The sequence below is a fragment of the Homo sapiens genome, chromosome 5, assembly GCF_000001405.40.
Source record: "Homo sapiens chromosome 5, GRCh38.p14 Primary Assembly".
NCBI classification, from domain to species: domain Eukaryota; kingdom Metazoa; phylum Chordata; class Mammalia; order Primates; family Hominidae; genus Homo; species Homo sapiens.
In genome coordinates, this window is record NC_000005.10 from 128965001 (window position 1) to 128990723 (window position 25723).

The 25723-nt window shown below is 39.4% G+C and overlaps 1 protein-coding gene across 3 annotated transcripts in view; it reads left to right on the forward strand.

The window, feature by feature from the left end:
• The first annotated feature begins 487 nt into the window (after positions 1–487).
• The window catches only part of SLC27A6 (solute carrier family 27 member 6), a 68148-nt gene continuing 42912 nt past the window's right edge, over positions 488–25723 (forward strand). The window contains exons 1-5 of one of the 3 annotated variants that reach the window (NM_014031.5): positions 488–752; positions 978–1618; positions 20133–20336; positions 23600–23758; positions 25340–25464. In NM_014031.5, the coding sequence (NP_054750.1) occupies positions 1138–1618; positions 20133–20336; positions 23600–23758; positions 25340–25464 (969 nt within the window). In that variant the 5' untranslated portion in view covers positions 488–752; positions 978–1137. Of the gene's footprint in view, positions 1619–20132; positions 20337–23599; positions 23759–25339; positions 25465–25723 lie in introns of all 3 variants that reach the window. The other 2 variants (NM_001317984.2, NM_001017372.3) reach the window with 2 other exon arrangements.

A 25723-nucleotide genomic window follows, 5' to 3' on the forward strand; every position in this document is an offset into this window, starting at 1 on the left:
CTCGCCAGGGCCCCCGCGCCGCCCAATCCCAGCAACTCTGGTTCTCCTGTGACCCCAAGCCTTCCAGATCCCTGGGTTTCCCCCCACGGGACTGTCACATTCTTCCCCGCCGGAGACGCCAGTCGCGGGGCCTCCTCCCTGGGGTGTGAGCAGGTCGGCGCGCCACACTTCTCTAGGTGGCCGGACGCGCGCCCAGGGAGGAGCTGGCGGCGGGGCCCAGGCTGTTCCGGCTGCGGCACGCCAGGGGATGTGGTTAGCCCTGAGCCTGGAGGCCGAAGGTGGGCAGGCAACACTCCCACCATGTTTCGGAGGAGAATACACTAGGCTAGCCTAACGACACTCGGAGTGCGAGCTGCGGCTGGGGTAGGGGCACCCCTTTCCAGCGGGCGCGTGGGTCACCAAGGAGCAGTTCTCCGGGACCCGTTGCGTCAGAGGGACTGGGCGGGGCTGGGCGGGGCAGGACGGGGGCGGCGCTCAGGAACCCTGGAACCCGCTGGCCCTGAGGCCACGGACCGAGACGTGGTGCTGAGCCCCTGCGCGGTTTCTGGTGCGTAGAGACTGTAAATCGCTGCGCTTCTCAGTCATCATCATCCCAGCTTTTCCCGGCTCGAATTCAGCCTCCAACTCAAGCTCGCGGGAAAGACTACCTGAGAGGAGAAAAGCTTCTGTCCCTGGACCTTCTTCTGAGGGTGGTGAGGTTTGTTTAGGGTCGCAGAAGCAGGGAGGACTGACTCAGCCCTCACAGAGAAGAGGTCTGGAAAGTCCTGGGGAACTCGCAGGGCACGGGCCGCTGTCGCGGTTGGGAGGCGAGGGCGCAGCGCTGGGGTTGTAGATTCCAAGACCCCTGAGGGTGGCTGTGTTGGTTTCTCGCAGGAGTCGGAGGCTCCCTGCTTTCCAGCCGCCCAGTGACCCAAGCTTAATCTTCAGCACCACTTGGGGCGACCTTTTCGGTGCAAACCTACGATTCTGTTTCTCAGGATTCCTCCCCATCCCGCTTCGCCCCGGAAAAGCTGACAAGAACTTCAGGTGTAAGCCCTGAGTAGTGAGGATCTGCGGTCTCCGTGGAGAGCTGTGCCTGGAAGAGAAGGACGCTGGTGGGGGCTGAGATCAGAGCTGTCTTCTGGCCCAGTTGCCCCCATGCTTCTGTCATGGCTAACAGTTCTAGGGGCTGGAATGGTCGTCCTGCACTTCTTGCAGAAACTCCTGTTCCCTTACTTTTGGGATGACTTCTGGTTCGTGTTGAAGGTGGTGCTCATTATAATTCGGCTGAAGAAGTATGAAAAGAGAGGGGAGCTGGTGACTGTGCTGGATAAATTCTTGAGTCATGCCAAAAGACAACCTCGGAAACCTTTCATCATCTATGAGGGAGACATCTACACCTATCAGGATGTAGACAAAAGGAGCAGCAGAGTGGCCCATGTCTTCCTGAACCATTCCTCTCTGAAAAAGGGGGACACGGTGGCTCTGCTGATGAGCAATGAGCCGGACTTCGTTCACGTGTGGTTCGGCCTCGCCAAGCTGGGCTGCGTGGTGGCCTTTCTCAACACCAACATTCGCTCCAACTCCCTCCTGAATTGCATCCGCGCCTGTGGGCCCAGAGCCCTAGTGGTGGGCGCAGGTAGAGTATGGGGTGTGGTCTGCCTATACAGAATGGCAGCCCACCTGCTTTCATACCCTTTTTTTTTTCTTTAGGATAATTCGTAACTAATATTTTGGGTGAGTGAAGTGTGCATGTTAAGAGTACAAAATAGTTTTATGATTCTATGCTGGTTTAACAACTGTCTCCTCCCTTCAGGCACGTAGTTTCAGAAAACTTTTATGAAATCTCTGCTTCCTACCATTTTGAGACAGGGACAGTTTTACTGCTATTGGTTCCTTCAGTGAGTGCAAGAACACACAGAGAACTTGGTCACTTCTAAATTTTATCAGCTCTGACAAAATGGTGAATAGGAAAGTTATCTGACTTCATTGTGACACGTCTACCTACCTCTAATTGTACTTTATCAGGGATGACTACATTTGCAGAAGAGATATGTTTAAAGGAAGGTACCTGAATTCCTTTCTTCATGTCTGCTCTTATTTTATACTGTCTGCAAGCTAGGACTTGCCTAGCAAGGTTGCGCTCCCACCTGTGAGCCAGAACGTGGGCTCTTGGCAGACTCTAGGAGCCTTTCTGTTTCTTCTTCTTATCCTTCCATGCATCCTTTTCTTTTTTTGACTAAGTTCTACCCTTCCTCCTCCCCCTGCCTTGGAGTTAGGACATCTTAGGCTACACGTATTTTCACTGAACTGTAAAGAAAAGCCTGGGGTTTAGTGGCTAATTAGTAAAGAAGCTAGGAAGATGGGTTGCTTAATGAAATAGAAGTGAAATATGAAAAATGATACTTATTTGGTGTAATCTAAATGGTTTATGCAGAGTCTTCTTCAATGGGGAAGGAAGGTGCGGAAAGAGGAAGATCCATTGCAAGGACCATAATGAAAATATTTAAGTATTTTAGATTAATAGATACATACCAATACCTTGTATAAAGTTTTTAAACTCACAGAACAATATGGAAAAATATATTTATACCCTGGTGATCTCTAAGGTATAGAACTTTTCAAATAACCTTTATGATATAATATTTGTATATCAAACCAAAGTGAGTTAGGCAGTATATGGAAAATGGGCTAGCCCTTCAAGGCTATCACTGTTCCTAGTTCTTTTCAGTTCAACTTGTGGTCTGATAAAGTGGCAAATGTATACTTTTTCTTATTTATTATTATTTTTTATTATTATACTTTAAGTTCTAGAGTACATGTGCACAAAGTGCAGGTTTGTTATGTATGTATACATGTGCCATGTTAGTGTGCTGCACCCATTAACTCATCATTTACATTAGGTATTCCTCCTAATGCTATCCCTCCCCACTCCCCCCACCCCACGACAGGCCCTGGTGTGTGATGTTCCCCACCCTGTGTCCAAGTATTCTCATTTTTCAGTTCCCACCTATGAGTGAGAACATGTGGTGTTTGGTTTTCTGTCCTTGTGATAGTTTGCTCAGAATGATGGTTTCCAGCTTCATCCATGTCCCTACAAAGGACATGAACTCATCCTTTTTTATGGCTGCATGGTATTCCATGGTGCATATGTGCCTCATTTTCTTAATCAAGTCTATCATTGATGGACATTTGGGTTGGCTCCAAGTCTTTGCTATTGAGAAAAGTGCCGCAATAAACATACATGTGTGTGTGTCTTTATAGAGGCATGATTTAGAATCCTTTGGGTATATACCCGGTAATGGGATGGCTGGGTCAAATGGTATTTCTAGTTCTAGATCCTTGAGGAATCACCACACCGTCTTCCACAATGGTTGAACTAATTTACACTCCCACCAACAGTGTCAAAGTGTTCCTATTTCTCCACATCCTCTCCCGCACCTATTGTTTCCTGACTTTTTAATGATCGCCATTCTAACTGGTGTGAGATGGTATCTCATTGTGGTTTTGATTTGCATTTCTCTGATGGCCAGTGATGATGAGCATTTTTTCATGTGTCTGTTGGCTACATAAATGTCTTCTTTGGAGAAGTGTCTGTTCATATCCTTTGCCCACTTTTTGATGGGGTTGTTTGATTTTTTTCTTGTAAATTTCTTTAAGTTCTTTGTAGATTCTAGATATTAGCCATTTGTCAGATGGGTAGATTGTAAAAATTTTCTCCCATTCTATAGGTTGCCTGTTCACTCTGATGGCAGTTTCTTTTGCTGTACAGAAGCTCTTTAGTTTAATTAGATCCCATTTGTCAATTTTGGCTTTTGTTGCCATTGCTTTTGGTGTTTTAGACATGAAGTCCTTGCCCATGCCTATGTCCTGAATGGTATTGCCTAGATTTTCTTCTATGGTTCTAATGGTTTTAGGTCTAACATTTAAGTCTTTAATCCATCTTGAATTAAATTTTGTATAAGGTGTAAGGAAGGTATCCAGTTTCAGCTTTCTACATATGGCTAGCCAGTTTTCCCAGCACCATTTATTAAATAGGGAATCGTTTCCCCATTTCTTGTTTTTGTCAGGTTTGTCAAAGATCAGATGGCTGTAGATGTGTGGTATTATTTCTGAGGGCTCTGTTCTGCTCCGTTGGTCTATATCTCTGTTTTGGTACTAGTACCATGCTGTTTTGGTTGCTGTAGCCCTGTAGTATAGTTTGAAGTCAGGTATCGTGATGCCTCCAGCTTTGCTCTTTTTGCTTAGGATTGTCTTGGCAATGCAGGCTCTTTTTTGGTTCCGTATGAACTTTAAAGTAGTTTTTTCCAATTCTGTGAAGAAAGTCATTGGTAGCTTGATGGGGATGGCATTGAATCTATAAGTTACCTTGGGCAGTATGGCCATTTTCATGATATTGATTCTTCCTATCCATGGGCATGGAATGTTCTTCCATTTGTTTGTGTCCTCTTTTTATTTCGTTGAGCAGTGGTTTGTAGTTCTCCTTGAAGAGGTCCTTCACATCCCTTGTAAGTTGGATTCCTAGGTATTTTATTCTCTTTGTAGCAATTGTGAATGGGAGATCACTCATGATTTGGCTCTCTGTTTGTCTGTTTTTGGTGTAAAGGAATGCTTGTGATTTTTGCACATTGATTTTCTGTCCTGAGACTGCTGAAGTTGCTTATCAGCTTAAGGAGATTTTGGGCTGAGATGCTGGGGTTCTCTAAATATACAATCATGTCATCTGCAAACAGGGACAATTTGACTTCCTCTTTTCCTAATTGAATACCTTTTATTTCTTTCTCCTGCCTGATTGCCCTGGCCAGAATTTCCAACACTATGTTGAATAGGAGTGGTGAGAGAGGGCATCCCTGTCTTGTGCCAGTTTTCAAAGGGAATGCTTCCAGTCTTTGCCCATTCAGTATGATATTGGCTATGGATTTGTCATAAATAGCTCTTATTATTTTGAGATACATCCCATCAATACCTAGTTTATTGAGAGTTTTTAGCATGAAGGGCTGTTGAATTTTGTCAGAGGCCTTTTCTGCATCTATTGAGATAATCATGTGGTTTTTGTCTTTGGTTCTGTTTATATGCTGGATTACGTTTATTGATTTGCATGTGCTGAACAAGCCTTGCATCCCAGGGATGAAGCCCACTTGATCATGGTGGATAAGCTTTTTGATGTTCTGCTGGATTTGGTTTGCCAGTATTTTATTGAGGATTTTTGCATCAGTGTTCATCAAGGATATTGGTCTAAAATTCTCTTTTTTTGTTGTGTCTCTGCCAGACTTTGGTATCAGGATGATGTTGGCCTCATGAATTAGGGAGGATTCCCTCTTTTTCTATTGATTGGAATAGTTTCAGAAGGAATGGTACCAATTCCTGTTTGTACCTCTGGTAGAATTCGTTGTGAACCCATCTTGTCCTGCACTTTTTTTGGTTGGTAGGCTATTAATTATTGCCTCAATTTCAGAGCCTGTTATTGGTCTATTCAGAGATTCAACTTCTTCCTGGTTTAGTCTTGTGACGGTGTATGTGTCCAGGAATTTATCCATTTTTTCTAGATTTTCTAGTTTATTTGCGTAGAGGTGTTTATAGTATTCTCTGATGGTCGTTTGCATTTCCGTGGGATCAGTGGTTGTATCCCCTTTATCATTTTTTATTGTGTCTATTTGACTCTTCTCTCTTTTCTTCTTTATTAGTCTTGCTAGCAGTCTACCAATTTTGTTGATCGTTTCAGAAAACCAGCTCCTGGATTCTTTGATTTTTTGAAGGGTTTTTTATGTCTCTATCTCCTTCAGTTCTGCTCTGATCTTAGTTATTTCTTGCCTTCTGCTAGCTTTTGAATGTTTTTCTCTTGCTTCTCTAGTTCTTTTAATTGTGATGTTAGGGTGTCAATTTTAGATCTTTCCTGCTTTCTCTTGTGGGCATTTAGTGCTATAAATTTCCCTCTACACACTGCTTTAAATGTTTTCCAGAGATTCTGATATGTTGTGTCTTTTTTCTCATTGGTTTCAAAGAACAGCTTTATTTCTGCCTTCATTTCGTTATTTACCCAGTAGTCATTCAGGAGCAGGTTGTTCAGTTTCCATGTAGTTGTGCGGTTTTGAGTGAGTTTCTTAACCCTGACTTCTAATTTGGTTGCACTATGGGCTGAGAGACAGTTTGCTACAATTTCTTTTCTTTTACATTTGCTGAGGAGTGCTTTACTTCCAACTATGTGGTCAATTTTGGAATAAGTGTGATGTGGTGCTGAGAAGAATGTATATTCTGTTGATTTGGGGTGGAGAGTTCTGTAGATGTCTGTTAGGTCTGCTTGGTGCAGAGCTGAGTTCAATTCCTTTATATCCTTGTTAACTTTTGGTCTCATTGATCTGTCTAATATTGACAGTGGGGTGTTAAAGTCTCCTATTATTATTGTTTGGGGGTCTAAGTCTCTTTGTAGTTCTCTAAGGACTTGCTTTATGAATCTGGGTGTTCCTGTATTGGGTGCATATATATTCAGGATAGTTAGCTCTTCTTGTTGAATTGATCCCTTTACCATTATGTAAGGGCCTTCTTTGTCTCTTGATCTTTGTTGGTTTAAAGTCTTTTTTATCAGAGACTAGGATTGCAACCCCTGCTTTTTGTTTTTTTGTTTTCCATTTGGTTGGTCGGTCTTCCTGCATCCCTTTATTTTGAGCCTATAGTGTGTCTCTGCACGTGAGATGGGTCTCCTGAATACAGCACACTGATGGGTCTTGACTCTTTATCCAATTTGCCAGTCTGTGTCTTTTCTTTGGGACATTTAGTCCATTTACATTTAATGCTAATATTGTTATGTGTGAGTCTGATCCTATCATTATGATTTTAGCTGGTTATTTTGCTCTTTAGTTGATGCAGTTTCTTTCTAGCGTCGATGGTCTTTACAATTTGGCATGTTTTAGCAGTGGCTGGTACTGGTTGTTCCTTTCCACATTTAGTGCTTCCTTTAGGAGCGCTTGTAAGGCAGGCCTGGTGGTGACAAAATCTCTCAGCATTTGCTTGTTTGTAAAGGATATTATTTCTCCTTCACTTATGAAGCTTAGTTTGGCTGGATATGAAATTCTGGGTTGAAAATTGTTTTCTTTAAGAATGTTGAATATTGGCCCCCATTCTCTTCTGGCTTGTAGAGTTTCTGCCAAGAGATCAGCTGTTAGTCTGATGGGCTTCCCTTTGTGGGTAACCCGACCTTTCTCTCTGGCTGCCCTTAACATTTTTCCTTCATTTCAACTTTGGTGAATCTGACAATTATGTGTCTTGGGGTTGCTCTTCTTGTGGAGTATCTTTGTGGCGTTGTCTGTATTTCCTGAATTTGAATGTTGGTCTGCCTTGCTAGGTAGGGTAAGTTCTCCTGGATAATATCCTGAAAAGTGTTTTCCAACTTGGTTCCATTCTCCCCATCACTTTCATGTACACCAATCAAACGTAGATTTGGTCTTTTCACATAGTCCCATATTTCTTCGAGGCTTTGTTTTTTCTTTTTACTCTTTTTTCTCTAAGCTTCTCTTCTCGTTTCATTTCATTTCATTCATTTGATCTTCAATCACTGATACCCTTTCTTCCACTTAATCAAATTGGCTACTGAAGCTTATGCATGCATCATGCAGTTCTCGTGCCATGGTTTTCAGCTCCATCATGTCATTTAAAGTCCTCTCTATGCTGTTTATTCTAATTAGCCATTCATCTAATCTTTTTTCAAGGTTTTTAGCTTCTTTGTGATGGTTTCGAACATCCCCCTTTAGCTCGGAGAAGTTTGTTATTACCGGTCTTCTGAAGCCTGCTTCTGTCACCTCATCAAATTCATTCTCCATCCAGTTTTGTTCCATTGCTGGCAAGTAGCTGTGATCCTTTGAAGGAGAAGAGGCACTCTGATTTTTAGAATTTTCAGCTTTTCTGCTCTGGTTTCCTATCTTTGTGGTTTTATTTACCCTTGGTCTTTGATGATGGTGACCTACAGATGGCGTTTTCATGTGGATGTCCTTTTTGTTGGTGTTGATGCTATTCCTTTCTGTTTATTAGTTTTCCTTCTAACAGTCAGGACCCTCAGCTGCAGGTCTGTTGTAGTTTGCTGGAGGTCCACTCCAGACCCCGTTTGCCTGGGTATCACCAGCGGAGGCTGCAGAACAGCAAATGTTGCTGCCTGATCCTTCCTCTGGAAGCTTGGTCTCAGAGGGGCACCTGCTTGTATGCAGTGTCAGTTGGCCCCTACTGGGAGATGTCTCCCAGTTAGGCTACTCGTGGGTCAGGGACCCACTTGAGGAGGCAGTCTGTCGGTTCTCAGATTTCAAACTCCCTGCTGGGAGAACCACTGCTCTCTTCAGAGCTGTCAGATGGGGACGTTTAAGTCTGCAGAAGTGTCTGCTGCCTTTTATTCAGCTATGCCCTGCCCCCAGAGGTAGAGTCTACAGAGGCACACAGCCCGGTTTGAGCTGTGGTGGGCTCCACCCAGTTCGATCTTCCGCACTGCTTTGTTTACCTAGTGAAGCCTCAGCAGTGGTGGACTCCCCTCCCCTAGCCTTGCTGCCACCTCGCAGTTCAATCTCGGACTGCTGTGCTAGCAGTGAGCAAGGCTTCGTGGGTGTGGGACCCACCAAGCCAGGCACGGGATATAGTTTCCTGGTGTGCTGTTTGCTAAGACCATTGGAAAAGTGCAGTATTAGAGTGAGAGTATCCCGAGTTTCCAGGTACCGTCTGTCACAGCTTCCCTTGGCTGGGAAAGGGAATTCCCTGACCCCTTGTGTTTCCCAGGTGAGGCGATGCCCTGTCCTACTTTGCTCACACTCTGTGGGTTGCACCCACTGTCCAGCAAGTCCAAATGAGATGAATCCGGTACCTCAGTTGGAAATGCAGAAATCACCTGTCTTCTGCGTCGCTCACGCTAGGAGCTATAGACTGGTGCTGTTCCTATTCAGCTATCTTGGAACAATAAAAACACAAAGGTTTACTTCTGAGCACTCATTTTAATCTTGTTTTCATTACGGGAGGAAAGGGTCTAGGAGCAAATGTAAACTCCAAGTTTTGCTAATAATTGATAAGGCCGTAAGTTCTGTTTACAAGGGCCAACCAAGAGGGCCACAGTGTCCCTGAAAAAATGGAGACATTCCAAAGCCGGTTTCCTGAGAGATTCGTCTTAAAGTACATAGGACTGGCTACTTCTCAAGATAGAGCATTCAGGCTTTTCTGTTGACCGAATTGTTGTTTAACTAGGACCAATTAATTTTGCAGTTTTACTTGTGCCAGCTTTTACTTTGCTTGCCAATAACTAATTGCATTGTTTTCTTATTTTTGTTTTTAACACCAACAGTCAGTTTTTTGTATTTAAAAAAGCCACTTTGGGATACTGAAGTTTTAAGCCAAGACTATTTAGTTGATTGGCTCGGTAAGTAGGTCACTGGAGAAGTCACCCATTCTTTCTGGCATACCTTCAAATATAAATGAGATATATGTTTTCCAAAGATGGAAAAATTCTATTTTGATTAACAGATTTTGTAATAAGATGTAGCTTAGATCATAGTCACTTTTATACTTAAAATACTGTGTTGTTGGCATCTGGAGTCTCATTTGTGAACAATATAAACATACTCTTTTTAGCACATTAAATTTCAGATTTCTTGGATTCTCATTGGATGTTTCTGATGGTGTACTATTAAATCATTATACCCCCAGGGAGAGTATATTGAGGTAGAAAGATGAATCATGTGGTTCAGACGGAGGTAAGCCAGACAGACCCAAATTCCATGTATGGTCTGCCACTTCCTGGCTGTATGGTTAAAGATAATATCATCAGTTACCCTGGATCTCACTGAACTTAGTTGTAAAATGGTGATGATACCATCTGATTCACAGTATAATTCTGAGGATTAAATGACACATCTTTTGTAAAGTGGCTAGCTGAGTGCCTGGTATGTACTAAGTAGATCTTATTGTATTTAAATGATTGCTATTATGATTATAGAGTAATCCTGGGGCTTTTAATAAGGGATCTCATTTGGATTTTGCAGCTACAACCTTATTTGATGTTAGCTAGTATATACAGTCATGAATCACTTAATGACAAGGATACTTTTCTTAGAAATGTGTTAGACGGGCCAGGCGTGGTGGCTCACGCCTGTAATCCCAGCACTTTGGGAGGCTGAGGCAGGCAGATCACCTGAGGTCAGGAGTTTGAGACCAGCCTGGCCAACATGGCAAAACCCCGTCTCTACTAAAAATACAAAAATTAGCCGAGTGTGGTGGCAGACACTGGTAATCCCAGCTACTTGGGAAGCTGAGGCAGGAGAATCATTTGAACACAGGAGGCAGAGATTACAGTGAGCTGAGATCGTGCAACTACACTCCGGTCTGGGGAATAGAGTGAGACTCCAAAAAACAAAAGCAAACAAACAAACAAAAGAAATGTGTTAGGTGATTTTGTTGTTGTGTGAACATCATAGAGTGTACCTACACGAACCTAGATGACATAGTTTACTACACACCTAGGCGCTGTGGTATGGGTTATTGCTCCTAGGCTACAAACTTGTACCAGGATATTACTGTACTGAATATCGTAGGCAATTGGAACACAATGGTGGTAAGTATTTTTAAGTGAAAACAGAAATGGTACAGTAAAAACATAGTGGTATGATCTTATGGGACTACTGTTGTATATGCAGTCCCTCATTGACCAAAATATCATTATCATTACTATGTGTTAGCAGTAAGTTAATGACAGAGTTAGGATTTGAGCCCATGTTTACCTGATATCATGATGTGTATTTCTCACATTCAGACTTGCCCCTTCTGTAAGGAGGCATATCCTTTCTTTACATTATTTTTGCTCCTGACAGTATTCAAGCATCATTCCCTTTCAGTAAATACATGTTCAACAGATATTATAAATAAAAACCCCAGAGTCAGTGCCTCCATGGCCAGTAAAGAAGAAACCACGCATTATCAGTGCTTAGAACACTGCCTTTTCTAGCTACTGAACCATGAAGCCATTTAAACTTCCTATTAAAATCAATTATTTTCTTTTGTAACAGAAGTAATTGTTGATCTAGCTGAGTCTAGGAATGAAAAAGAAAAAAAAAACAAAAAGCCAAACAGTCTATTCTACTAAATACAAGTAGAAATTTAGAAATGTCCTGAAAAGTAAAACAGATACCATGTATGGATATCATAGTATGTAGGTAAGATAATAAAAGTTCACATGAGCTATGTATTTTATCTATCGGCATACATAACACTTTCTATAAAACTTAAAGGGGGCCAGCGCGGTGGCTCATGCCTGTAATCCCAGAACTTTCAGAGGCCAAGGCAGGTGGATCACCTGAGGTCAGGAGTTCGAGACCAGTCTGACCAACATGGTGAAAGCCCATCTCTACTAAAAATACAAAATCAAAATCAGCCAGGTTTGGTGGTGCGTGCCTATAATCCCAGCTACTCAGGAGGCTGAGGCAGGAGAATCGCTTGAACCTGGGAGGCGGAGTTTGCAGTGAGCTGAGATCGTGCCATTGCACTCCAGCCTAGGCAACAAGAATGAAACTCCGTCTCAAACAAAACAAAACAAAACAAAACAAAAAATCCAAAAGGGCATTTATTTTTCCTCTGACTCTTTTTCTTAGTCTTTAAAAAACAATTGCCTTTATGGTTGAAAGTCATTTGGAGAATTACAATGGCTTGATTGTTAACAAGAACATTTGTTAACAATAACTACAAACTATGCACCATTTCAGTGTAACAGTTTACTAACAGTGCAAGGCTGCATGCATTATTTTGTGTTTATAGAGAAGACACAGGATTTTTACTTCTTACGAAGAGAAATCTGAAATGCTTCAAAATATGTTGAACAGCAAAATACTATCAAATCTAAATTGAAAGAGTTCCGGGTAATTGAATAGTTTTTTAAAGGTCTCTATTTATAAGTATAATGATTTAATATGTGGTGTATTAAGAAAGGATGGAGAATAAAATATATACCATATGCAAGTAAATCTGAAGCCTTGTGGGTGCCTACTATGTCTAAAGTGCTTTGTACCTTTTGGGAGTGATGATTAGTAACATTGACATCAACACAACCAGGAAATCCCAACCATATCACCACCCTCAAAACCAGTTACCAAATGAACAGTGGAGAGTGGACAACTTTTTGCAAAAATATGCGAAGTAAATTAAAAGTTAGCAAGTGTTCATGTGTATCATAGTTTTTATTATGCCATTCATTCACTCATTCATCCAGATAATAAATACTTGTTGAATATCTCCTTTGTGCTAAGTCCTGAAAATTTAGCAGTGAACAAAACAAATTTCCTCAGTTCAAGAGTTTACAACCTAGTTCTTGAACTATTCCTTGAGGCTGCATCAACATCTATTTGTGAATTGGCAAAGAGAGCTTTATGATTGGAGGGAGTCACTGTAAAGACACATAGAGCACCTGAGGCAGGTGAGGTCAGTGGAAAAGGTACTCAAAGTAGATGGATAGAGAAAAGGTGAGAGAGAAAAGGAAAGGGGTGGGGGAACAAGGGAGAAAAGGAGAGGGAAAGGGAGAAGATGGAGATGAGGGAATGAGCAGGAGGAGAAAGGAGGAAAAAGACAAAGGTAAGCCCTTCAGGCTTTTATGATTTAGCATCAGAAAATCTGAACTCTAGTTCCCATGCCACCTTGCCTAGATGTATGAGCTTGAGTAGAGTATTTGCCCACTATAACCAGGCTTCCCTCGTCCTTAAAATAAGGTTAATATTTACCTATCATGGCTGTAAGTGTTGATCACCAAAAATAATGTATAAAAACATTTTGTAATCTATGAAGTACTTTAAAATGGCAAGTATTCTTATTTATCATCAGCAGCATTATAATTATGACTAAACATGCCAAAGGATATAGAGATAATAGCATACAAATTTTAAATGATATAAAAGCACCCCAACATTGTTCTGTTTGTTTTAAGTAAAGAGAAGAGCATAGATCAGTAGATGGTAATCTTGGCAGCAGATAATATTAGCAATATCAGAGATGAAAAATTGGGGGAAAGGTTGAGGTTTAATCTCAAACACTTTAATTTTCAATAAGTTTCCCAGAGAAATTTGGGATGCCATTTGATATATGTTCTAATCCAAAAATACACAGATATAAGACTTCTGCAAGTATTTTTGAGTCTTCAGACTGTGTGGGAAGGAAATAATAGTATTATAAAAATTTTAACATTTTTCTTATCTGTGTATAAAAAACTTGGTGTCTTAATATTGGTAACTTTTATTTTCATATTTTGTATAGCCTGAATGTGTATTTTTTCAGTTACATCAAAGTGGAATTGACAGTCTCAGAAACATTGGACTATATAGTATAGAGACCATGTTTTGAGTCTGCTCTGCAACCTACTAAGCTGTGTTACCTTAAAAAAGTTACTTAATAGTTTACCATTTCAGTTTCTAAAATATAGCACTTTACCTGTCTCCCAAAACCGCTGAGAGTGCCTTTTAGTTAGCCTTGAGTACATGGCAACCATTATTTTTGTTAGTGACAATAACAAGAGTAACATTTGCCTGGTGGTTTAGCTGAAATCTTTTCCTTTGGCTTATTCCTAAAGACAGTTATCAGATACCAGCCATGATAGAAACTTCACCTATCACAGTGCACATTATCTGGCGTGGCCTATGAAACCTGTTTGGAATTGCTTCTGTATAACTTATGAAAAATAGAGTTTTTCTAAAATGTACCAAAACAATGTGTTTAAGGTTCTATTTCAAAGAAACCACACTATTATTTGAAGCTACATGGAAATGCCTGAATACATAGTTCTAGGAGGTATAACTTAAAAATAGAAGGCAAAATCATTATAAAGCCAATAATAGAATGCATACATGATGATGGTCCCATAAGATTGTAATACTCTATTGTACCTTTTCTAAGTTTAAATATATTTAAATACACAAACACATATTACTGTGTTAGAATTGCCTGCAGTGTTTTCAGTACAGTAACATGGTGTACAGGTTTGTAGCCTAGGAGCGATAGGCTATATATCATACAGCCTAGGTGTGTAGTGGGCTATATCACTTAGGTTTGATCAATGATTATCATTCAGTCTTGTGTGAATTAAATGTAAAGAACTCAACAGAATACCAGGATCATAAAGTATATTCAACAAATGGATGCAATCATTATTTTTAACTGCATAATGGCAGAGACAGCCACCCATAGTAAGAAGTCACTTTTGCTCAGGTCTCTTCATTTGAGATTTGTTGTATGGAGGGAAACCCACGTAGTGTGTTACACAACCTTAGTGAGTTGGCTTTAAACAGCTTTCTTGTCCTCTCCAGTAGCAGTACATCCATAACTACTTCCCAACCCTCAGTGGCCAAGGTTGGAATGCTCTCAGACACAAGTTTGGAGTGAGGTCGTTAGCTCTTCTCTGGCCAAAAAGAAGAAGGTTCTTCTACTGTTAATAACAAAGAGGTCATGAGGGAGATAACCCTGATGGGGTCTGAGTCTTGCAGAAATACTACCTTAGTATTCACTGCGTTTTAAAAATATATATATCATTTACTTACTAATGAGTCTGTCTGTAGATTGCTTTGGTCTGCATTTACTCTTCTAATTTCACCACTTTCTTACTGAAAAATAGCAAGCCAGATGCAACATGCCTTCTTGTGCCATTTCAGTAATAATTATTCATTGGCAACAGGAGATGTGTTAGAAATAACATCAAATGAAGTGTTCGACTTTTTCTTTTTTGTATAATTTTGGTTATAATAATATAATGTATAAATTGTGTTATTATATTATAATAATATTCAATCTGCTCACCTCAAAAATGTGGGAACAACTGAGAGTGAAAACACATAAACCCACTTAGAAACTTGTGTGCATATATTCAGGGCAGTTAAATCATGTCAGGAAAAAATATGTTATTGCAATAGAAAGACTTGTGCTTCTGTTATTCATGAGTTTTGTATTTCACTCCTCGAGAACTTTGCTATGTTAAGTGAGGAATGAAGCTTCAACTCACCCTGCCTGGTTATGCCCTTTTGGGTGGGAAGAGGAAGGGCATGGTCTGACTTGGAAACAAAACAGGCCAGAATCACTAGAAGCACTTCTCCCATGTAAGGACCTGGATTCCCAATCTGTTGCTCTCCCTTCCAGGGTCTATCATCTCCTCTTTTCAGTCTTCAACTTTCTATTTAATGAGCTTGAGCTCATTGTATGTCCTCATCATCATCATCATCATCACAACCAACAGTAGTAGTAATAACAACCACCACCACAGCAGACACCATTTAAGGAGGACTGATTCTGGGTCAGGCACCACAATGAATGGTTTATATAGACCATTTAATTATCTCAACAACTGTATAAGTTGTATGGAGTCACTTTTCAAAAGAGGAGAGGGAGACTCAGAGAAATGAAGTGACTTGTCCAAGGTCACACAACTAGCAAGTGTCAGAAGCAGTGTTTGAATCCAGATTCTCTGGCTGAAAATCCTATACTCTAGGGAATCAATCCAGAATTCCAGTGTTTTGCTGAAACCATATTTTTTTGTTTTTAAGCCAGTGGGGTCCACAGTGTATGTTGGAACCCATTCTTGGGCAATAATTTTGCCTACTTAATCATCAATTTTCTTAGAAACCAGAGCTACCCGTGCATTATGTGAAAAGCCTGTTGAACTGCTCTACATAGTAGGATGGTAACTATAAGGATGTGGCAAGATCTCTAATTTCACTTTGAATTCTAATGTTGCTTTGCAGTATGGGAAGCTAAAGTTAACCATTTGTAGCTGAATACCATATTAGGTTTATTAGTGCATAAAATTTAAAAGTTGAAATGCTTACCAATGTATTAACAACCATAATCAATCAATTCCCATGCCATATCTTTGAAAGTATTAGCTTGTTTTATGTAGAATAATGTAGTTTTTAGTGCAGCATAAATAATATAACTCATACTAATGGCATATTAGAGGGATACATAAAATTTTTACCCATATATTTTGCAGTCTCAAAAATGTGAATAAGATCTAATGTTGATGAAGAAACAAGAAATCAATTTGTAAAATAAATGCTAAAGGATTTTAGGCAGGGATTATAATTAACATTTTTGTACTTGCAACCCCACCTAATGAAGTACATTGCATGTGGGAGGAAAAAAATATGTAATTTTTGAATGAACATGCTTCTTTGAAAACAGAAATTAAGCCTACAATGTAGACTTTGTTAAAGGTCATAGAAAATCCAGCTGTCTGGCTGGGCGTGGTGGCTCATGTCTATAATCCCAGCACTTTGGGAGGCCAAGGTGGGTGGATCACCTGAGGTCAGGAGCTCGAGACCAGCCTGGCCAACATGGTAAAAACCCCGTCTCTACTAAAAATACAAAAATTAGTTAGGTGTGGTGGTGGGCATCTGTAATCCCAGCTACTTGGGAGGCTGAGGTAGGAGAATCACTTGAACCTGGGTGGCGGAGGTTGTAGTGAGCCGAGTTTGGGCCACTGCACTCTAGCTTGGAGGACAGAGTGAGACTCCATCTCAAAAAAAAAAAAGAAAAAAAAATCCAGTTGTCTCATTTTCCTGCAGTAGTTTACGATCAAAATGGTACAAATTTCAGTTTCTGTAACCAGTTATCTATCTAGCACCTAATGGCATGCGGCCAGGTAGAGTGAGCAGAAGGATGGAGGAGAACACACATCATTCTTTTGAGATGCTTATAATTCTACAGGTATCAATGGTAATGCAGTGAAGCATAAATCCTCATGAGATAAAGTCATTTCCTTAAAGTATTTAAACAAATGCTATTTTGTGTCAAGACAATATTCAGAATTTACTGTTAAAGGACATGAAAAGAGTTTTTTTCTTTCTTTTCTTTTCTTTTTTTTTTTGTTAAGATGGAGTCTCACTCTGTCCCCTAAGCTGGAGTGCAGTGGCGTGATCTTGGCTCACTGCAACCTCCGCCTCCCAGGCTCAAGCGATTCACCTGCCTCAGTCTCCTGAGTAGCTGGGATTACAGGTGCCTGCCACCACACCCAGCTAATTTTTGTATTTTTAGTAGAGACAGGGTTTCACCATGTTGGCCAGGCTCTTCTTTAACTCCTGACCTCAGGTGATCCACTTGCTTCAGCCTCCTAAGGTGCTGGGATTACAGGCATGAGCCACCACGCCTGGCCAAGATTCATTTTATTAAGAAAGACTGGCAGTGATAATGATTCTTTATCCCCTGCATGACTCTTCTTTATCCCCTACATGACTCTTTTATTTTAACTTTCTCTATCCTCACCCACATTTCCTACCACTATTGAAGAAATAATTTTGTTACACTAAATTCTATTTGAGAATTCTAAGCATCTCACCTAAATAAAATTAATTTTAACTTATGAAAGAAGTGACATTGTATCTCCTCTGATTCCTAGGAACCTTCTCACTTTCTTTTTTCTTGCTGTAAAAATTATCACTCTTGGTAAATACTCAGTTTCTTTGGGCTCTAGAATTCCAACAAAGATTTGGAGCCACACTTATTCATATTTTAACTTTCTTGGCACTTATTTCCCCAATTTAGACATACATATCATTAAGAACATATAAAAGTTTGTGCTGGGAATTTCTTATTCTAGATGAGAGATTTTGAAATTAAAGTAATGAGTCAGTTCAGAGATTTGCACTTACAAGTTCAAAACCTGAGAAAGAGTCATTACAACAAAATCTGGAACAAACATTAAAAAGAAAGTCTAGATCCTTTGCTTATCCAGTTTTTCATGTTTCTAACTTGTCACTCCTCCTATCATCCTTGGTGATTTTTCACATTTTGCCAAAGCAATCTATATACAGCAGCATGATGTGTGTGTGTTAAGTAGAGCTAGGCATTTTCCCTGGATTCTTATATTTTACTTAGATTTGTTATAGAAATAAAAATTAATAAGACATCTTAAGGCTATGAACCCCACTTTCCACCGCATATCAACTTCATTATAATTTCTGTGTTGCCTTCTATTTTCATACAGGTTTTATTTATAAACTGCTTAGTCCCACTTGACATATTTATCTTGCTGCTGCTTTGTGATCAATCTGGGTTATAGATTTCATGAAAGTAAATCAAGAGTTTTCCCCCAATGTATTTCATTGTAGTAGAACTAACCCAATGACTGATAGTTGGCCTTTTGAGGGAACCAGATACTGATTTATGTTTCCAGGGAAATGTTTAATGCAGAACTCTGAATTCAAACTCAAAGCAGAATATATCTTGTGATTATTTTAAAATTTTTCCTGAAAAAATTAGAAAAAATATAATTGCTTTAGGTGTAAAGGTCCACATTTTCATGTACAGAACTTGAGCATTCTGATCCGGGTTTTTTTTTTTTTTTTTTTTGAGACAGAGTTTTGCTCTTCTTGCCCAGGCTGGAGTACAATGGCGTGATCTCGGCTCACTGCCACCTCCGCCTCCTGGGTTCAAGCGATTCTCCTGCCTCAGCCTCCTGAGTAGATGGGATTACAGGCACCCATCACCATACCTGGCTATTTTTTTTGTATTCTTAGTAGAGATGGGGTTTCACCATGTTGGCCAGGCTGGTCTCGAACTCCTGACCTCAGGTGATCCACCTGCTTCGGCCTCCCAAAGTGCTGGAATTACAGGCATGAGCCACCGGGCCTGGCCAATCTGTATCTATTTTACATTTAGCACCATTATTTTTTCTTTTTTGCCATTTATTTCTTTTATGAGGTAATTTTATAGTTTTAGAGTTAGTCTATGGTTAGATTACTAATTCTACCATCCACCAACTTGTGAGCTTGATGTATGAGTTTCCTAAGGCTGCTATAATGAAGTACCACAAACTTGGTGGCTTAAAACAAGCGAAATTTATTTTCTCACAGTTCTGGGGGCTAGACATCCAAAATAAAGCTGTCAGCAGAGCCATGCTCCCTCAGAAGGATCCAAGAATTTTTTCTTGTCTCTTAGCTTCTGGTAGTTGCCAGTAATGTTGGACTTCCCTTGCATTAACTCCAAAAGGCCAGTGGGGTACTATTGTTTAATATCCCCAAGGACGTTAATATAGATTTTAAGATAACCTATATAGCACTCAGAAATCCCTTGAACCTTCTAAATGTATAGCATATTATAGAAATAAGGAAGTAAAATCAGAGTTGCCATGTAGAATATAAAAGTTGAACTTCATGTCAGAGATCCATGCTAAAGTAAGGGAGTGGTGAATTTAAAAAGAATTTAAATAATATAAATAATTGTATGCCTGTCTACTCTGGAGAAAAAAATGATGCTTCACTTGCTTACACAAAAGACTGTATAGGAATGATGACATTGTTTCTTTTGTATCCCACAGAGTGTTGGTTACCTCAGTGCTTAATTATTTCCTCATCAAGGACCCAGTCCCACCTTCTGTCTCTCTTGTTTTCACCACTACTCCTCTCTTGAACAGATGATATTTTTTTCCTGGGTTACTGGGCAAATCAGGAAGGTCTGGTTAAGTTTCACAGATTAACTCAACATAGTCTCACCTCACCAGTTGCTCCTTTGTTATCCTTGTAGCAGATCCTTCCTAAGAAACTTGTCCCTTTTTCTTTCTGAACCTTAAATTGCCAATCACCCAAACTGTGAATTGTAAACATTGTACCCAATAGGTAATTTCTCAGTCTTCACCTCTCTCTCCCACCCTCCCCCATTTTGGAGTCCCCACTCACTTAACTTCTGGCTTTGGAATGATTTCTAAACCACAATGATCTTGTGATTTCAGAGCAGTCGGGGATTCTCCCAAATGTTTTGCATTACAGTGGAACTGAAGAGTAACCTGCAGACAGCTTTTGGAATAACTAGCTACTGAGTTGTACTTCAAGGAAAATGTTTAGTGCAGTATCCTGAATTTAGATTCAGACAGAGTTTTAAATAGTTTTATTTAAAAATTGGTGGAGGGAAACCCATAATTTGAATAATGGAGTCTCTTAAATTCAGTCTGAATTGGACTGCTTGCATTGGTCTGTCAGGTGATAACTAAATTTCCCTTTCAGTTGGTCCTGTTGAAACGGAACCATAAAATGACTGTGATATTACTTATCCAACATAAGAAGGAAATCAGCATTTTATTTACATTTTATCCCTGTTTCAATACACAAAAGCAACTCCAAAGTGAATTGTTTGAGATTTAAGGTTTGCTTAACTCTTCCCAACCCTTTGGCTTTTAGATTTGCTTGGAACGGTAGAAGAAATCCTTCCAAGCCTCTCAGAAAATATCAGTGTTTGGGGGATGAAAGATTCTGTTCCACAAGGTGTAATTTCACTCAAAGAAAAACTGAGCACCTCACCTGATGAGCCCGTGCCACGCAGCCACCATGTTGTCTCACTCCTCAAGTCTACTTGTCTTTACATTTTTACCTCTGGAACAACAGGTATGATCCAATTCTTTTGAAGGCTAAAATGAATGCGAGAAATTTGCAAAGCAACAGTGTTGGGCAAATTTCTACCATGTGTAGTGACCAACCATCTGAGAATGCATGCTTGCAAGAAGATGTAAGGATCTCAGAGGCTAGAACTTTCCAACTTGGATGGAAAGTTAATTATCTTAACTTTTACTTGAAAAGTCATTGTGTTCATTTGGCATTTGTCTCATTTGACAAGATTTTCTTAAAGTTTGGTAGTACAAAGGGCATGGGAGTATCCAAACACCTTGATCCAGTCTCATTGCTCAGTGTATGATACTTGATACTTGATTTTTTGGGCAAGATCTTTGTTAGCTTCTCTGATCCTCAAATTTCTGATATCTAAAATGAAGAAATTAGTTTAAATAGTTTCTACTGATTCTTTTGGATTTAAAAAGTGTTTTAATGTACTTGAAAACAGTTCTCTATATTCCTGTGTAAATTATTAAATCCTAAACATAATCCAGGTATACCGGCAATTTAAGCACCTGTTGCTGGCTCTCCTGATTTTGGTCAGGGTAATTGAATCATGTGACAAACAGGAACTCTTGAAGGCACTGCAGGTTTGGACTAAGATACAAAATAAAATCAAGTAAATAAGCTTTATTTTAAGTAAACAACAGCAATAACAATAATAAAACTGCCTGAGAATTCAAAAGAAGGGCCTGGCACAGTGACTACTCACACCTGTAATCACACACTTTGGAGGCCAAGGCAGGAGGATTACTTGAGGCCAAGTGTTTGAGACCAGCCTAGGCAACACAGTGAGACCTCATATGTACAAAAAAATTAAAAAAAATAGCCAGATGTGGTGGCATGCACCTGTAGTACCAGCTACTCAGGAGGCTGAGGCAGTTGAATCATTCTATCCCAGAAGTTCGGGGTTATAGTGAGCTGATTGCACCTCTGCACTCCAGCCTGGGCAACAGAGTGAGACTCAGTCTTAAGAAAGAAAAGAAAGAGAATTCAAAAGAAATGTTAAACTTAATTGATTTCTAGGAAAAACTGAATGGTATTAATGGTAGCCTAAATAGGCTTTCATTATTAGTTTGAAAATGATTGTTGATTTGACTTAGACATATTAAGAGTATTGTTACTCATTTCTTGTGCATAGGTTGTGAGCAACTATTGCATAGTAAAATTTTTCTTACATTTTAAAAATCTATTCAGTTCCTAATTGTAATCCCTTTTAGACTGGAGAATATAATTTTTTTTTACATGATTAGAACAGTTTTGATAAATGAACTGAAAAGTGCTAATATGTGTGTGGCTACTCTGTCCAGACTGAGGGAGCTTCTTTCTCAGATTGTTCAGGCTACCTAATCAGGTCTATTGAATAATAACAGGTCTAGAAGTTGGCAGATTGAACAGATACACAGTCCCTTAGGACAAAAGGAATGGAACTAGAGATGACAGCTACAAAATTTTAGAAAAGGAGGTGATGACTGAGTGTGGTGGCAGACACCGCAGACCCAAGAAGCTGAAGCTTATGGTGAAGCCTTGAAGAAAATTCATTTGCCCCCACCAAACCCCAGAAAGGCTCAGAAATTGGGTACCAGGTACCTCAAAGAGTAGAAAATAAATGTGAAACTATAAGCAGGAAACTTTATGGGAAGTTTGTTTAAGAAGGAACTATAGTCCTGGATTGCTTCTTCCACCCTGATAGAAGTCCTGAGACGTAATTCTGGAAAAGATGAACTTCTGAAAATACCAGGAAGAACAGAGGTTTAAAAAGTAGGGGATATAAAAGAAAGTCTCCCTCCCTATAAATATGTATATATGTATATAGATAGATATACATATATGTATATGTTCTCTTTAATATATATAACTTCTTTTAATACTTGACTGTTTTAATCTTTGAGATTCTTGTCTGAGGAATCTGAATAGCCCACATGTAAAAATTGAAAGACACTGATCATGATGGATTCCCCCAACAGAATGTCCTGGACAGTGAAACCAACTAGTAAATAAGTATTCTTCAGACACAGAGATTCTAGTTAATATTTTGTTTGTTTATTTTGTGTTTTTGTGTCTGCACTTTTAAATATAAACTGATAGTCAGTAGTCTCCAGATATTTGAAAAAAATCCTCCTGAATATATTCTAGATTAGATTGAGACCAATACAAACGAAAGATAAAAAGGATGTTGGAGAAAACTGACAAGATAGAGAGGAGAAATTTTCAAAAAATTATTATTGTTAATATTCTGAAAGATGGGGACAAAAAAGTGTCAATAATATAAAAATAACATACTACAAAAAGAGGAATATTCAGAGAACATAATTGTTGGAAAATCTCTCAAAAAGTAAAGCAAAAGGTAAGAGAAGGAAAACAGGATAGGCAACATTAGGAAACCAGTGATTCTGTCCAGGAGGGCTGATCTTCAGAAAATCAAGAGTTCTAAAAATGAAAGGATGAACACACAAATAAATGTAACAGAAAAAAGCAATGGGCAAAAAGAACAGAAATAAGGAAGGAAAGAGAAGAATGGGGTGTGAAAATTATTTTGTTTTCAAATTCAAAAATATCTAGAACTATAAGACCTGAGTTGTTAGACTGAAAAAGCCTAAAAATTTCCCAGCGAAATGGATAGATGAGACTGGTCCCAGTAAAAGTCATCATGATATTACAGACTACTGAAAACAAATAGAAGATTCCAAAAATGAAAAAAAATAGAAATACCATGTTGCATCCAAAGGATAAGAAATCAGAAAGACTGATAATTGCTCAATATATATACTGGAAGTCAGAAGATTATAGAGCAATGCCTTCAAAGTCCTGCGTAAAAATGACTACTTACCTAGAATTCTTTACAAGCAGCCATTCAAGTGTATAGGTGGCAAAAAAAGACATTTTCAGGCACATAAGGACTGACAAAAACTTACCTCCCAAATGCTCTTTATCAGATAGCTACTGAAACCAAATGTGTGCTACCACTGTAATTAATTTCTAGAATCTTAGATCTATCCAGAAAGGCCAACGATAAAATTACATAGCGTTTGAGATACAGGCCTACTTAGCAGCCTGTCAAAGGAGCGTTGCTAAAGTCAGAATGGCCTCTTTTACAAAGCAGATAGACTACTTTGATATATTTTCTGTCAATTGCTAGTGTAGTTGTTATCAGTATCATCTTCTTTCTGTTACTTCCTTTCTAGTTATATGAATATGTATGCATATGTATATGTATGTATGTGTGTATATATATTTCCTGTTCTTTTCTTTTCTTCCAGGTCTACCAAAAGCAGCTGTGATTAGTCAGCTGCAGGTTTTAAGGGGTTCTGCTGTCCTGTGGGCTTTTGGTTGTACTGCTCATGACATTGTTTATATAACCCTTCCTCTGTATCATAGTTCAGCAGCTATCCTGGGAATTTCTGGATGTGTTGAGTTGGGTAAGGCTTTATTTTCTTTTTGATAAGTTTTCAAAATGTCTAATAATTAGAACAAGTATTTATTAACATTTGAAGCTGTATCGGTAGAATTTAGAGTGATTATATGCATATTATTTTATTATAACACAATATTTATTTTAAAAAAACTACACAATTTTATGGCATATTCAGTGTTTTCCTGAGGTGAAAAGAACAGTTTTCTGAGGATTTGGCCATGTGGTCGGAGCTGGCTATTGGCTGGGCTTCTCTCTCCTTGTAGTCACTCACCCTCAAACAAACTACCCCAGATTCCTCAAATGTAGTAGAAATGTTCCAAGGGAGTGAGTATGGAAGCTGCATAAATCTTAAGGCCTAGTCTTGAAAGACACATAGGTTATTTTACCTTCATTCCATTGATCAAAGTAAGTCATGGGCCAGCCTAGATTCAAGATTCCAGGGCTGGAGAAACAGAAGCCACCTCTTGAAGGGAGAAGGAGCAAATTTACACTGCAAAAGTAAGAGCCCTGAAGAAATTGCTGAGGCCATCTTTGCGAACAGTCTGCCATAGACACTCAATAAATTAGTTGGTAGAGCTTGTGACTCAGTAGATTCCATTCATAAACATGCAAGATTATGTGTCAGTTTCTAGACCTCACATAATATACAAACAGTGGAGATCATTTGCTACTTGTATTTGTCTAAAATGCTGTAATTTTTAGAATAGAATATTTAGAATATGATCAATATCCACCATAAATGAAGATGAGATATTAAAAGACATTAAAATCTTCAGTGGACATACATTGTTGTCAAAATTAGGTTCTGCAGTCATTTAAGAACTTTTTTGTTAGTACTATCTTGCTAATTCAACCTTACTAACAGTTGACCTCAAGATATGTTGAGGTGGCCGGGCGCAGTGGCTCATGCCTGTAATCCCAGCACTTTGGGAGGCTGAGGCAGGTGGATCACGAGGTCAGGAGATTGAGACCATCCTGGCTAACACGGTGAAACCCTGTCTCTACTAAAAATACAAAAAATTAGCCAGGTGTGGTGGCAGGCACCTGTAGTCCCAGCTACTCGGGAGGCTGAGGCAGGAGAATAGTATGAACCTGGGAGGCAGAGCTTGCAGTGAGCCGAGTTCGTGCCACTGCACTCCAGCCTGGATGACAGGGTGAGACTCCGTCTCAAAAAAAAAAAAAAAAAGATATGTTGAGGCTGCTTTAAGGTTTAAAAATGAATAATATGTATATATTCCAGTTCACAAGTAAGTGAATATTCTTGGCTTCTATGAAGAAGGATGACTCTTATCAATAGCCATGCTCTAATACTTTAACTCTTTTACTTATTTTGACTGTTGCTTTTCTCCTGTGTATTGCAAAAAGCATATTTTCAGTCAAAATTTAGAATTACAATATTTTAACAGAGTTTTTGGACGGTAAAAATTAGTGTTTCCAAATGAGTTTGATATAAATTATTGATGATGAGTTATTAAAGTTTTAAAATGAGCAAACATGTTCTAGACAGAGAAACATCATTCATGTTTTATGTTCATTCTGCCTTTGAATTTTTTTCCCTAGTGCCTGTTTTTGTCTTTTCTTATAGGTGCCACTTGTGTGTTAAAGAAGAAATTTTCAGCAAGCCAGTTTTGGAGTGACTGCAAGAAGTATGATGTGACTGTGTTTCAGTATATTGGAGAACTTTGTCGCTACCTTTGCAAACAATCTAAGGTAGGCGTAATCATTATCAGAAAAAAATATGTCAGAAAGAATAAGTATTGAGATAGAAAAGGTTATTTTTATTTCTTTGTTTATACTCTACCTTTGTTACTGGCGGGTCTTTGTTCTTAGAGCTTCCAAGATAGTGGCAGGTGCTACCTAGATGGTGGCGGGCAGCTCCCAAGATGGTGGCAAGCCTTGTGTTCTCTGATCTGGGGTTCTTGGCCTCACGGATTCCAAGGAATGGAACCTTGGGCCATGCGGTGAGTGT